This window comes from Homo sapiens, chromosome 13, assembly GCF_000001405.40.
Source record: "Homo sapiens chromosome 13, GRCh38.p14 Primary Assembly".
In the NCBI taxonomy this organism is placed as follows: domain Eukaryota; kingdom Metazoa; phylum Chordata; class Mammalia; order Primates; family Hominidae; genus Homo; species Homo sapiens.
Window position 1 is genome coordinate 42,255,006 of NC_000013.11, and position 15,138 is coordinate 42,270,143.

General features: G+C 38.2%; 1 protein-coding gene and 1 pseudogene across 1 annotated transcript in view, besides 2 other annotated features; both read left to right on the forward strand.

Moving 5' to 3' along the window:
- The window catches only part of DGKH (diacylglycerol kinase eta), a 216,515-nt gene extending 214,936 nt beyond the window's left edge, over nt 1-1,579 (forward strand). Inside the window, exon 32 of the transcript NR_123715.2 lies at nt 1,279-1,579. The gene's annotated coding sequence lies outside the window, so the exon portion shown is untranslated. The remainder of the gene's footprint in view (nt 1-1,278) is intronic.
- FHP1 (fumarate hydratase pseudogene 1) lies at nt 866-1,570 on the forward strand (annotated as a pseudogene).
- Nucleotides 3,816-4,081: a transcriptional cis regulatory region, noted in NCBI's record as "candidate enhancer chr13.544 targeted for multiplex CRISPR interference". NCBI's record gives its function as "positively regulates AKAP11 gene expression with high confidence in K562 cells {active_cell/tissue: K562}" and the evidence as "EXISTENCE:mutant phenotype evidence [ECO:0000015][PMID:30612741]".
- Nucleotides 4,462-4,968: a transcriptional cis regulatory region, noted in NCBI's record as "candidate enhancer chr13.545 targeted for multiplex CRISPR interference". NCBI's record gives its function as "positively regulates AKAP11 gene expression with high confidence in K562 cells {active_cell/tissue: K562}" and the evidence as "EXISTENCE:mutant phenotype evidence [ECO:0000015][PMID:30612741]".

Here is a 15,138-nt window from a genome sequence, read left to right on the forward strand (position 1 = left end):
GTTGAAAATATCTTGTATATATTGGGGTAAATAAAATCTATTATTTTTGCGTGTTTCTTTTAGCTTTTTTACTGAGAGTACTAGAAAATTTAATATTATATAATGGCATACATTATATTTCTATTAGACTGTGGTAGTCTCAATAATCTAGTGTGCAGTATTGTTTAGGGAACATATCTTTTAACCATGCTATTAATCTTTTGTACATTATGAATGCTCAATATATGTTGCAGAATACTTGATAGATTGCTTATATTTTATGAGAATGAATGGAGATTTTTTTTAATTGAATAAGAATTTTTTTAAAAAACCAACTTAAATGGGGAGACTTTCAGTTCTAGTTATTTCCTAGAATTTTTACTTTAAAAGAGAACATATAATAAACATTTGATTTGCTGTCAGTGCTATCTCTGAGAAGGCAAATGAAACAATGAATTCCAACACAGCCCCTAATCTGTTTGAGTGTTCTGAGATACAGAAATAACAAGGTTTTTGGCTTGTAAAATGTCATTACATTATTGTAGAGGACAAAATGTGAAGGCAGAAAAATTTGGGCAATGTCAGCCATGTTCCTTAGACTTTAAGAAAGTTGGTGGTTAAAAATTAAGAGAAGAAAAACGTTATTCAGCAAATGATGTTGGAATAATTAGATGCTCATATGAAAAAAGAAAAAATATTAAGTCCCTTCTTCATACCATATTCTAAATGAGTTCCTAATAAATAAATGACATGTGGGAAGCAAAACTGCGAACTTCTCAGAAGAAAATATAAGGGAATATTTTCTCTGTCATTGGGTTAGGGAAAGATTATTTTAAGTAATATATAAAAAGGGCAGCCCATTTTTATCTTCAAAAAAGAGACTGATAGAGAAGGTTGCTGCAAAATTGGCTGCACGTACAGGCTTGCCTTTTGTCACTGCTCCAAATAAATTTGAAGCTCTGGCTGCTCATGACGCTCTGGTTGAGCTCAGTGGAGCCATGAACACTACTGCCTGTAGTCTGATGACGATAGCAAATAATATTCGTTTTCTGGGTTCTGGCCCTTGGTCAGGTCTGGGAGAACTGATCTTGCCTGAAAATGAACCAGGAAGTAGTATCATGCCAGGCAAGGTGAACCCTACTCAGTGTGAAGCAATGACCATGGTTGTAGCCCAAGTCATGGGGAATCATGTTGCTGTAACAGTTGGAGGCAGCAGTGGACATTTTGAGTTGAATGTTTTCAAGCCAATGATGATTAAAAATGTGTTACACTCAGCCAGGCTGCTGGCGGATGCTTCAGTTTCCTTTACAGAAAACTGCGTGGTGGGAATCCAGGCCAATACAGAAAGGATCAACAAGCTGATGAATGAGTCTCAAATGTTGGTGACAGCTCTCAATCCTCGTATAGCGTATGACAAGGCAGCAAAGATTGCTAAGACAGCACACAAAAATGGATCAACCTTAAAGGAAACTGTTATTGAACTTGGCTATCTCACACCAGAACAGTTTGATGAACAGGTAAAAACTAAGGACATGCTGAGTCCAAAGTGATTTAAGTAAATTTATAATGAAAATAAACGTGTATATAATTTTTTAAAAAACTGATAAATCTGACTAATAAAAATGCAAAAGCTTTATTCAATAATAAACAACACATAAAAGTTGAAAAGACAGGCTGTGGACTGTAAAAATATTTTTAAACATACAAGTGATCAAGGATTAGCATCCAACATGCATACATAGCTCCTAAAGTCACTTACTTATGTTTTAAGTCAAGCTTATTGAGGTGTAATTTACAAGCAAGAAAACTCATCCTTTTTACAACAGCTGTATGAATTTTAATACATGCATTCAATTTTGCAACCATCACTATAATTAATGCATATAACATTTGTTTTATCTTACAGAAAGGTCTGTAGGGCCTCTAGGTAATCAATCCCTCTCACACCTGAGCCGTTGGCAATCACAGATCTGTTTTCTATTCCTGTATTTTTGCCTTTTCAAAATGCCATTTAAATGGAATCACATATAATGTAGCTTTTATAGTCTGGCTTCTTTAACTTAACATACAAATATTGATTATATCTATAGATTTTCCTCTTTGTTGCTAAGTTGCATTCCATTATATGGATAGACCAGTTTGTTTATCCATTCACCAAGTGAAAGACACTGGAATGTTCCCAGTTTGGGGTGATTACAAATAAAACCACAATAAAAATTTGTATACATTTTTGTATGAACATGTATTTTCCTTTCAGGAAAGCACCACAGGACTGCTGGGTCATATGGTAGGTAGAAACTGCCAAACTATTTTCCAAAGTGACTGTGCCATTTTCATTACCACCATCGATGTATGAGTATCTGTTTTCATTGCTTCCATTCTAGCCAATACTTGGTATTGTCATTTTTATGACAGTTCTAATAGGAGAGTGGTGGTATCTCACATGGTTTTATTTTGCATTTCCTTAATGACTAATGATATTGAGCATCTTTTTTGTGTGCCACTTTGCTATCTGTATATATTCATACAAGTAAATTTTTAGAAAACCAAACAACCCATTTGAAAAATGGACAATTGTATGAACAGGGAATTCCCAGAAAAGAAATTTAGGAATCAGTAAACATCGAACAATATGTTCAGTAGTACTAGCAGTCAGAGAACTGCAGGGAAATGAGATATCATTTTGGGTCCCTTGGACTGGCCAAGCTGTGTAATTTTGGCAGGGGTGAGTAGAAATGGGAATTTGTACACACTGTAGATAGGAGTTTAAATCAGTACAACTACCTGGAGACCTATTTTGTAATACCTAGTAAGTTGAAGATGCGTCTAGTTTGTGACCCAACAGTCCTGCTACTAGTATATATATATGGGCACAAAGGTACTTGAAACAATGCTTATTGTAAGATTGTGTTAATGAATATGAGAGGCACTGAATAATAGGAGAATGAATAAAGTCATTTATTAATTCAACTGAGTGAATGAAATCAATATGACCAATCAGTATGAATAAATTCCAAGAACAATGTTGAGTGAAAAAATAAGCAGGCTGCAAAACTATATACTACATTATACCGTTTTTGTAAAAATTGTAAACATTCAAACAATGTATGTCTTGTTTATGGATTCATATATGTGTAGTAAAAGTATAAAAACATTCGTGGTAATGATATGCATCAATTTCAGGATGGTGGGTTCCTATGAAGAGAAAGGAAGAGAAAAGGGACTCTGAGAAAGGGGCTTTAGCTCTCCCTGGAACGTTTTACTTCTTAAAATAAAACACCTGTATTTATTTATTTATTTATTTATTTATTTATTTGAGATGGAGTCTCTGCGACCCAGGCTGGAGTGCAGTGGCATGATCTTGGCTCACTGCAGCCTCTGCTTCCCGGGTTCAAGCAATTCTCCTGCCTCAGTCTCCCAGGTAGCTGGGATTACAGGCACACGCCAACAAGCCTGGCTAATTTTTGTATTTTTAGTAGAGACGGGGTTTCACCATGTTGGCCAGGCTGGTCTCAAACTCCTGACCTCAGGTGATCCACCTGCCTTGGCCTCCCGAAGTGTTGGGATTACAAGCATGAGCCACCACGTCTGGCCTATTTTGGATTTATTTTAAATATTTTATAATTTAAAACAATATCCTAACTAGTTCCAACCTCTGCCTTCATTTTCTCCCTGCAGAACAACCTGAGCAAGGCTCTAGGCTCAAAACCTCTTTAGAATACACAAAATATCCTACTGTTGCCTCTAGCGTTAATCTTATGCCCCCGTTCTGAAAACATGGTTTCCTAATTTATTAGACTTCAGTTCTCTCTTTTCATTGAACTTGAGGTCCCTGGTAACTAAGGAGTTGACTGAGTACTGCTCACTGGTACTGACAGATGCAGGAAGCATGTAAGAGGGAGAATCCCTGGAGAATCTCCAGCCCACCTGCCACTGGGAGAATGGGGTGGAGCCACCGAGAAGTTTCTGCCTTGTGCACGGGGGAGGAGCCTGGGCTCTTGAGCTCCTGTGTGGTGGCCTGGTATTCAATCTGTGAGATGGGAGCCGTTGGCAGGAACCCCTCTCACTTTGCTGAGAGTTTTTTCTTTTTTCCTTTTCGCCCAATAAATTCCATTCCCCACCCTTCAATGTGTCTGCATGTCTAAGTTTTCCTGGTTGTGAGATAAACCCGAATTTAGCTGAACTAAGGGGCAAAAATTCTGCAACAGTAATATATATACCGAGTACTTGTCCTGGCCATCCCTGTCCCCTGTGGTGTCCTGCTTCCACACCCACAGGGATAGAGGCCATTTTATTTGTTGATATACTTTCTCAGTGCCTGCCCATTGTCAGGCTGGGTTTCTGAGTATCTCCTGATTCTCTAATGCTATATTTTGTTAGCTTTTTGGATCATCTCTTATACTTGGTGTTGGATCCTTTGACACCTGGTGCATTCATGAACTGTCTCTGGAACATGGAACTCTGAGCTCCAGACTGAATTTCCACCTAGCTCTCTTGCCTAAAACCTGTTCCAATCTAGTAGATGAATGTAATAGAGGGCCTAAGCCAAGATGAAAATTTACAGTTTTCAGCACTTGCTAAGCTTCCTTATTTCCTTCCTAACCTGTGTCAGACTGATCAAATTAAGCACTGGAGATGCAGGCTCTTGAAATAGAAAATGTGTTGGGACACAGCTGTCTTTCATTACCTTTCCTTACTCAGACCTAGAGATAAAGTATTTCTTGGAACTATAACCCTCTGTTTTGGAGATGATAGTGGCCTCCGGAGTCTTTTAAGTGAGTACACAGGAAGTCACGTCCCCAAGCTACTTGCCTTATAAAATGCAACACCTCTTAGCAATCCTTTTGTCTTAGGTTACCTGAATAGTTCTGCTTCGAACAGCTTGGCCCTCCTGCTAATTTTCCTCCGGTTCTATGCTAGGTTGGCTTCTTGCTTGTTTCTGGGACCCCTCTATTTATTTCCCTATTAGAGACCACAGCTTATGCTTGACTTAGACTCTTTAGTAACTGCATCGTACCCAACCTAAGCACCCCACTGTCTTCAAGGCTACTGACTCCAAGCCAGACCTTCACTGCTATTTTGTCCCCATTCCTCAGGTCAAGCCTCAAGAAACCATATGAAAAGAAAGAATGAAAAGGTATTGTGGAACAGCAGAAATGTGCCTGTTGATAACAATTGATGACAATTATTTGATTTTGTGACAGACCCTTGGGAGTCAATAAGGCACAGTCGCTACCTGCCTTCAAGTGGCACATTGGTCAAGTTGGTTATGAAGAACCAAAGATAATGTGTAAAACAGGAGTAATGTGTATGGCCAGAGTCACAGACTAGGGAAATGTATCCCATGTAGGCTTCCTGACAAATGTCTTTTCAAGAATTCTCAAGGAGAGTCAGATCCTTGGGACAGGAGGTGATGCTACCCCCTTCAACTGGACTAATGAGTTTTCTAGGGACCAAATTGCAGTAGAAATCCCAGCACTGTGGGTCTCTGCATCTTCCCTGTAGGGCAGTGGCCAAAGATCCCAATGGCAGGCAGAGATGAGGTGGCAGGCTCTCAGTATTTGTTTTTTTTCTTGTATTCCATTTGTTAAAGTATTGGATTTCTTTCCAGTGGAGTGAGAGTCTGAGGTGACATAAACTACATATTCCCAAATATAAAGTATGAAGAATAGGAGTTGAATTTGGCAGGATGAAGGAGGGACTAATGAAGTACACTCTGGAATTTGAAAGCATTAGGAGTTGTAATTATGTGTTACATACACAATGGTCATGATGAGGAGATGAGAACGGTAACATGTAGATTTGTTAAGAGTTATGTATAGAGAAATTACCAAGATGTCACTGAGACTAGTAACATTCCTTTAGGGTTGTCCCTGGGTACCACTGTTGACATATCATTTGAAGGTCTTAACATCCTTGAGAAAACTTGTCAGTTATTCTTGGTGGCTTAGAATTCTTCAACATATTCTACAGCTGCAAACACAAGTAGGCCCAAGAAATACCCTGGTTAGAAAATGTAGTTAATGCACATTTTGTGTTCCGAGATAAGAGTGGATGACATTTAAATAAGCAAGTTAGCTGACAGGAAGAAGAAACGATCAGTTAGTTATCTTGGTAGTGGGAAGGGTGGCACTGAATGTTGCAGATAGTGACTATCTGAGGCCGATGTTGTGTAAGTGGTAATAAGAATTTACCAAGTGATATGGGTTGGCTCTGTGTCCTCACCCAAATCTCATCTTGTAGCTTCCATAATTCCCACGTGTTATGGGAGGGACTCAGTGGGAGATGTTTGAATCATGCGGGTGGGTCTTTCACATGCTGTTCTCATGATAATAATAAGGCTCACGAGATCTGATGGTTTTAAAAATGGGAGTTTCCCTGCACAAATTCTCTCTCTTTGCCTGCCACCATCCATGTAAGATGTGACTTGCTCTTCCTTGCCTTCCACCATGATTGTGAGATCTCCCCAGCCGTGTGGAGCTGTAAGTCCATTAAACCTCTTTTTCTTCCCAGTGTTGGGCGTGTCTTTATCAGCAGTGTGAAAATGGACTAATACACCAAGACAATTGTAAGTAAAGAAAGACAGATTTATTAGAGAAAGTATGAAAGTATGTTTCAAGGAAGTAATGGGCAGGTCAGCAAGAGAGGAGCTGACTGCAAGGAGACAAAGGCCTGCTGAAGATTTTATAGGATGGTGCTTCTGTTATGTGAAGAGGGCTTTGTGCAGTACTGATAACACTAAGGTTTCAGTGAGCTAATTTGCATTTTTCTATCAGCCAAGGGTCTGGTGATAGCTAGGCACAGGAAGATTGTGAGTTAAATGTGCAAGAGGGCTATGTGTCCTGGACCATGAAGAAAGGCAGACTTATAACTTACCTGTTTTTTCTTTTTGCTTTCCTGTGGTCCTGCAGTCTGATTCCTTTTCCCAAATTAGGACTTCACATTGAAAATATATTATAGCCTTAGGGGTTGGCTGATTATTTCTGTACAGCTAGTAGTCTGGGGGTCGTATCCCAGGACAGGTCCATTTTGACTGACCGGTAGAGAAGAGGTTCTGCCTAAGGCAGGATATAAACAGGGTATCCAAATTCTTTTCTAAACTGAGATATTTTTGAAAAATAAAAGAGGCGCTAATAACAGGCAGCAACTGTGATTGTACCAGTCAAAATAGAATGTAAAATCACCCTAAATAGAAATACAGAAGGGTCCTCAGACCACAGCAATTTTGTTCATGGCTTTGTGGACCAGTATTACTATCCAAGTGACTCCTCTGGGGGTTCCCTGGCATAGGTGGAAGTGAGCCACTGGTTCTTGGAACAGCTCTGAAAGTGGTATTATATTACTGAGAGGAAGGGAGCTTAGTGAGGAAATCCATTATCAAGGTGGCCCAGGGGAACTGAATGTTTGGCAGGGATCACAGAAAACCTTTGGCTTTTCCCAGTAGGTGTTTGTTCTTCTGTATATTTTGTATATCATTGTATTCCACTACTTCCATTTTTTGACCTAGAGTTGTTAGAAGTCATGAGTCAAGGAAAGTAGAACCTTGTGTTCACCAAAATGAATGAATAAACAGAGGGCAGGATTCATGACAATTTTCTATAACATGTAAGTCATTTGAAACACACTTCTGTCTGAGGGCAAGCAGAGGGTTTGCTAGATCTCTTAATATATTATTGCCATTCCTGGGTGAGAAATGAGAAGGTCCAGTAGAAGCTGGATCATAGGAGAAAACACTATAGTATTACAAAACCCAGTCCCCAATGGAGGTGGTAAATTAGATTACTGAGAACAAGGAGAGGAAACATTTGCCATGTTCTGGCAGAAGGGGCTGGAATATAGATTCTGTATGGTGTCTAAGAATCAAGCATCATTTCTGTAGAGAGGGCTCTCTGTTTGTAGGATGGCATCATCCAGTCATATCTTAATGAGGGGATGCTGTAGCAGACAGCTGCACTGACCATGTAGCTAGAGACCAGGCAGAAATGTGGGTACTTCAGTGGAGGCTGATGTGGAAAGGTAGTAATGATCAAGAAACAGATAGCATAGTATACATTTCAGTGGACTTCAGTGGAGGACTTTATTCCTTCCTGGAACTTAGGTGAGAATTCTTAGAATTACATAAAGAGTAAAATGAGCAAGAAGTGTTCACAATAATTTTTTTAAAGTTACAAAAATATAGACTAATATTAAACTTCGAAGAGCATAGGGTTTGACACTGAAACCCAAGTAGCACCTTATAAATGTTGGCTTCTCTTTCACAGAAAAGAAATGCCGTTTCCTCAAACCATACATGAAAATTAGTATGATATTTTATCAGACCTTATTTTACTGCAGATATTACTTTCATCCGGAGTTTATATGCAATTTCAGAATAGCTACTGACCATCTAAAAAGGATAGAAAAAGTACAGGCCATTATACTATTAAGCTAGAGCTCTGTAGGAATCTTAATATACCCATTATAGTAAGCTTATAGGCATACTGTTTGAAGATAACAAAATCATTGTAAGATTATTACACCAACTGATAAGGATACTAACCTGCACAATCAAATGTGAGTAAGGACACACTTAAACAGGAAGAATGGTAAAATCAGTTTAGAGATAAAGAGCAGAATATGACAAATTATACATTTATAATATAAATTTATGAATTATAAATTTGGGCTCTACAAAGGGAATTTTCTAAATAAATTACAAAAGTGCCAAGAAATTTGACACCCATTGTTTATAAAGATAACCCATCTATTTGAAAAATAATGGTAATTATTATTTTTCCCCCTCACATTGAACAAAAATCTGTCCTCTTCCTCTGGAAGGACAGAGGAAGCCTCAGATAGTTCTCAGACATTAGCATTTCAACCTCAGTTTACTATATCCCTCTGAGTCTCCCCTTCTTCAGGTTAAATACCAACAAGATAAGTTTCACATATGAGATATTCCCTTAGGCTCCTCACCTCTGGTCATATTTCACTATGGCTAATGCAGGTGCATACTGACTAGTTAGAGTACAGTAGGACTAGCACCTCTTTTGTCTTGAGCATCACACTAGCATTCATGTAGCCTAAAGTTGCATTTGCCATGTTTTGGTAGCTGCATCCTTCCGATGAAGAAGATTGGACTAACCATAAAGGGTTGCAGGCCAGTAAACCAATAAATCAGAAATGGTTGGCTACTTTGATGTTCATGAAGATTGGCTATCAAGAAATCCTAGTCTATCTTTCAGAAGCTTAGCTGATTTCACATATTCCATTGTGGTGAAGGGGAACAAATGTGTTCAAGATGACTTTGGGCAATCCAAAATAAATTGGGATCAAATCTAGTAAGGGGACAGACTGGATATCTCTAACGTAGTTTAGTGGCTTAAAATTGCAAATAGAGCAAGGATTTCCTACAGCCTGGGCTAGGAGGCATTTGGGGGTCTTAAAAGTTCTACCACTTTTCAACCTAGATTTTTACCCCAGTGTTTAATGACTTTCTGTACCGTATGTAAGCATGTATTAATAATATTCATGTTTCATATGCATGACTATTACCTCCTTTAAAGATCTAATCACGTAAGGATATTTCTGTTAAATTTCATGTGAGCTAACTAATGAATAAGGATGCTCTGACTGACACTTTGAATTAATGTTTCATTTTTCAAGCAAAGCAGCTAAGCAACAGGAATGACAGACCCAGAAATAACTTGTTCTAAGATCTGTTTTATCTTGTCATAAAGTTAGGACAATATTCCAAAAGCTGACCTTGTCCTTTAGATATATAATCCAGGGGAAGTCATCTAACATCTTTTTTAAAGCAGTAAGCATGTATGCTATTGGCTCACATGAAGAGGAAGTCTATCTCACTTTTTGCAAAAGACATTTTTTAAAAGTTGTGTATAAATTTTATATGGTAAATTAAACTATTATTTACTTATGCTAAATGCTTTTGAAATGCTTGATAACATTCATGCTTCTTTGAACTTGTAATGTCTGTAACATAAGCTTTTTATAATACCTTGCACTTCTAATTTAACTATAAACCAGTCATGTAAAATCAGCAGAGCAATGATATTTAAATAAACTCTTTTATCTTATCAACTAGTTACATTTAGGCATAATTACTTGTTTTTGAACTTTGGACAAGTATATATTACATTTTCTTAAAAGAAGGTACATCTATGTTTTACATATTAGAAGTATTATAATTCAGTAATTAGCTATGATTTAAATCAGAAGAATCATTATATTTGAGTAAAATATATAGTAGGACTCAGATTGATTTTGCTGTTCAAGAAGTGTTTAATTTGGATTGGCACTTCTGAATTATCATTTGTACTATATTTACTAATTAGTATAGTTAGGATTCTATGATTTTAGCATTGAACAGTTAATGAGTGCCACCGTGTATTAAAATATCACTAGGTATAATTTTAACAGTGGTTAAGATGTGTCTCTATCCTTATAAAGACACTCGCTACAAAAGAATTAGGTAAGTGCTGTGAAATTAAATCATTTAAACTTAAAGCTGTTGGAACTTTACATTATTCTGTGCCTTGAGAGGAACATGGCTCTGCAGCCTGAGTCACACGGCATGCAGTTGCAACTTCTGCTCTTTTTTTTCTGTAAATAATTAGTAAGATCAAAAGGCACCAGATATAAGACCCTCTCAGATCACTACTCTTACTCACAGAGTAATAAAGTCATCTTCCTTGGAATGTAGCAATCTATAACCAATCAAATTGCTGTAATACACTGGTCTCCTGTGGAAAATGTGATAATCCTGCTAAAATTTCTCTCTCTGAGACTATGTAAGTGAAACCTTAACTTCTCCACTTTGGAATACTGACCCCATTCATCTGGAATTGTTGTTCCCAGGTTGTCATCCTCAAGCTTTATGCTCAAATAAACTCCATACTGAATCATATTTTCTGAATCTCATTAAGGTTGACAGTATGTACATTATAAAGTATATAGTAGACTGTGATATAATATATAGGCATTCAAACCGAAGGCATAAAAGAGGTATTTCACCTCTTGAACTTAAAAAGCACCTTTACATATTTAAACAGCTGATGAAACTGTAATTTCCACATTTTTCCCCTTTCAGAATGTTTTATTAATACATTGGTTTATTAAGTATTAACAAATTTGGCTGGATGCAGTGTCTCACGCCTATAATCCCAGCTCTTTGGGAGGCTTGAGCCCAGGAGTTCAAGACCAGCCTGGGCAACATAGCAAGACTCTGTATCTACAAAAAATTTTAAAAAATAGCCAGATGCAGTAGTGCGCACCTGTAGTCCTAGCTACACTGGAGGTAAGTGGGGAGGATCACTTGAGCCTAGGAGCTCAAGACTACACTGAGCTATGGTCACTGCACTACAGTTTGGGTGACAGAGACTCTGTCTCCAAACAAACACAAAATAATAATAAGTTAAATAATACATGTAAAGCAACCATCAAATAACTGGTCTGCTCCATTATTTTTTCTTGTATTTTCTAATGTTCTATATAACGTGTGTATTAATTCATAATCATAAAAAACAAAGTCCTAAAACTGAACAATGTAGAAAAGAAGGACTTGACATCTCACTTTTACAAGTGAGCCACCAGCTGGGACCATCACTCAGGCAGGAAATATCACTCAGGCAGGAATTCAGCAAGTGGGCCAAAGGGAGACTCAAGTTTTCAAACAGGAAGCGATATGGAATCTGCTCTTGGCTGTCAGAGGCTGCTACTGTAAAGCTCCAAAGCTCCTGGGGAAAGATGATGCCTGCCTTTGTAGTCAGAAGGTCACCAAGGGTATTAAGCTGAGAGGCTAGCTTTGTGTATTAGGCTTAGTTTTGTTGAAAGGTAGGACCAGACCGAACTAGCTAATTTTAGTCTGAACTATTCCATTTAGTGCCCCATGTGATCCAGAATAAATCATTCAACCTTGCTGGGTCATAATTCTTTCATGTGCCTATAACCCAAATGTCTTGTTTCTATTACAGTATGTCTAAAAATGAAAGAAATATTTCCATTAACTTAGAAAATTACAGTGGAGGAGACACCACCAATTTGATTGCTGGAAATTGGCCCACTAAAATGTCCCTAGGAGACACACAGGGGTTCCCAGGCACCCTCTTGGGTGCCCTTGGACACAGGCTGTGTTCCCTGACTTGCCACCCTGCTGCCCTGGCTCCTTTGTACACCACTGGTCTCTCCTCTCCCTACCCCGTTTCTGTGAGGAGTATGAGCAGGGGACACCTGTTTTCTCCCTGCTGCAACATCCCAAGCATGGGACATGCCTTGACATTCATTTCCCTTAACATAGCACAGATTTGGCTTATAGCATTTATCAGGACTTTACTGAGGACTCCTGACAATACAAATTAAAGAGAATAAAGAATAGTCTGGTAAGACACCCTCCTTCCCCGCTTCTCTTTTTTTGAATAGTTATTGAGTACCTACTATGTGCCTTAGGAACTCCTAAGCAAAAACAGAAACAGCCCTTGCTCATGGATCTCACAGTTCAGTGGAGGAGGGAGACAGACATTAACTAGGTAACCACACAAATAAAAATTGTTATAAGTTGATAAATGCGTTGAAGAAAAAGTAGGGAGTCCTAAGTAAAGGGGATTTACTTAGTCTGGGGAGTTAGGACGAAAGTTCCTGAGGAAGTGACAGTAGAGTTGAAAGGTGAAGGATTCTTGGGCATTCAGCTGTTAACAGGGATGGACAGAGAAAGAATATTGGATCCTGAAGAAACAGCCTGTGGAAGGTGATGAGGCAGGCAGGGTCTGGTCCTATTTTGAGGAACTGAAAAGGGGACAGTCTGAAAGGGAGAATGATATGAAAGCAAAGGAGAAAAGCAGATTATGAGGAAAACCATGAGAAGCCACTGAAGGATTGTAAGCAGGGGAATGGCATGGTCAGATGCAGTAGAAATGGCAGCCCTCTGGAGATAGAGTGCACATACTTCAACCAGCAGGCAAAAAAGACAAATCCTGGAAGCAAAGGAACGGTGCTAGGAGGAGAAATATGAACTCTGTAAATGGGATAAATAGAACGTCTTCTATTTTTTAGAGTATTAAAAAGAATCAGCAACATCCACACAAAATTTGTATAGGAATATTCAAAGCAGTATTATTCATAATAGCCAAAAAGTAGAAACAACTGAATTGTCTGTCAACTGATAAGTTGGCCAATAAAACTGTGCTATATACATAGAATGGAACTGTTATTCGGCAATAAAAAATAAATGAAGTACTGATACACGCTTCAACATGGATGATCCTTTAACACATGCTAAATGAACGAAGTGAGACCCAAGAGACCATGTATTGTATGACTCCATTTATATGAACTGTCCAGAATAGGCAAGTCTTTTTTATTTTTTATTTTATTTTTATTATACTTTAAGTTCTAAGGTACATGTGCACAACATGTTACAGAGGTATACATGTGCCATGTTGGTTTGCTGCACCCATCAACTTGTCATTTACATTAGGTATTTCTCCTAATGCTATCCCTCCCCCAGCCCCCCAACCCCCTACAGGCCCCGGTGTGCGATGTTCCCCGCCTTGTGTCCTGTGTCCATGTGTTCTCATTGTTCAACTCCCATCTATGAGTGAGAACATGCGGTGTTTGGTTTTCTGTCCTTGTGATAGTTTGCTTAGAATGATGGTTTCCACCTTCAGAATAGGCAAGTCTTTATAGACATAAAGTTGATTGGCTGCTACTGAGTATGTGAGTTTCTTTTAGGGAGGAACAAAACTTCTAAAATTAGATTTTGATGACAGTTGCACAACTGTAAATCTACCAGAAGCACTGAATTGTATGGTAAATGGATTACATCTCAGTAAAACTGTTAAAAAACACAGTTTTAAAAAGAATCCAGGAACTGGGGACACAGCAGAACTGGATCTCAATCCTAATTTTTTCTCACTTTGTATTAATGTACTGCAAATAATTGTAGCTAGCACAAGAGAGCACAATGACTGTCTTGCTAAGGTGAGTTGGGAGGATTTATTTCGGGCTCTGTTAATACATGTTCGATTGGGAGAGTTGGGCCCAGAGTTCATCTAAATTAGTAGTACCAAGCAGCTGTTTCAGTTAATCATTATGAGGGCTGTAAACACTCAAAAAATACTCAATTAACATTTTAAAAGAATGGTCCTACTTTGTTAAAATAGTACTTTTTCTCTTTTTGGCGTTTTTCCTTTTAAAAAGTAGCCCTATGTATCTTGAAATCTTGCTTTCGTTAAAATTAAGGTGTTAGCTTAACTTTAGGATATTGCCTCAGACCTTTTAAAAAATGTATTTGCTATCTAGTTCTTAAACTCTGATTAGGAACACATGAATCATTATTTAATACTACACAGGTTCAAAATAGCTTAAGAGAGATGGAATTCGAGGTTGAGCAGGTGGCGGTGTTTCCGTTTTCACACTCTGAGAAGGCCAAGGTTTCTTAGGGAAGCATTCCTGGTATCTGTATCAACCGTTTTCAGAGTTATTCAGCTGGTGTGTGTGTGTCTAATTTCATTTGGGTTGAGCCGCTGACTCTGTTAGGTTTTCATAAAAAATCATTTCATTTCCCTTTCCAGCTTCCGTCCTACTGGTATGTGCATGTTAAAGTGTAATTCAGGCTTAACTACTTTAGGTGTAGGCTAGTTACATTGCTTTGTTTTATGTATGAGGAAGCTGAGACTCAGTGGTGATAAGGAACCTTGATTTGGTTGTATCACTAATGACAGAGCTTCGAGTTGGAACTCATCTCCTGATTCGTTTCTTTTGGTGAAACATCCTCTTGATTTCTGAGCTTTCAACCTCTATCTTTTCAAATCTTACACTAAAGAATAAGTATCTGCGTAGAATTTCATTTTCTGTTCCCAGAATTGACTTTAAGAATAGACAGAAGAGGTGGTTGTCAGTGTAGCATAATGGAGGGAAAAAAATTAAAGATGGGCCCTTCCTTTTCAGCCATTTGTTTTCCCCCAGGTAACAAAAGAAAATCCTCCATTTTATTTTTCCTAGTAATTAGGAGAAATCCACATGTTTCAACAAAGGCAGAAACAGCATGAGGACTCTGACCTAATGGATTTTAGAAATGTTGAGATCATAGGAAATTAAATTAAATTTCATGACTGTCTCTCACCTGGCCTATAAATCTCCTAATCTCCCTTACTTCTGCTTTGG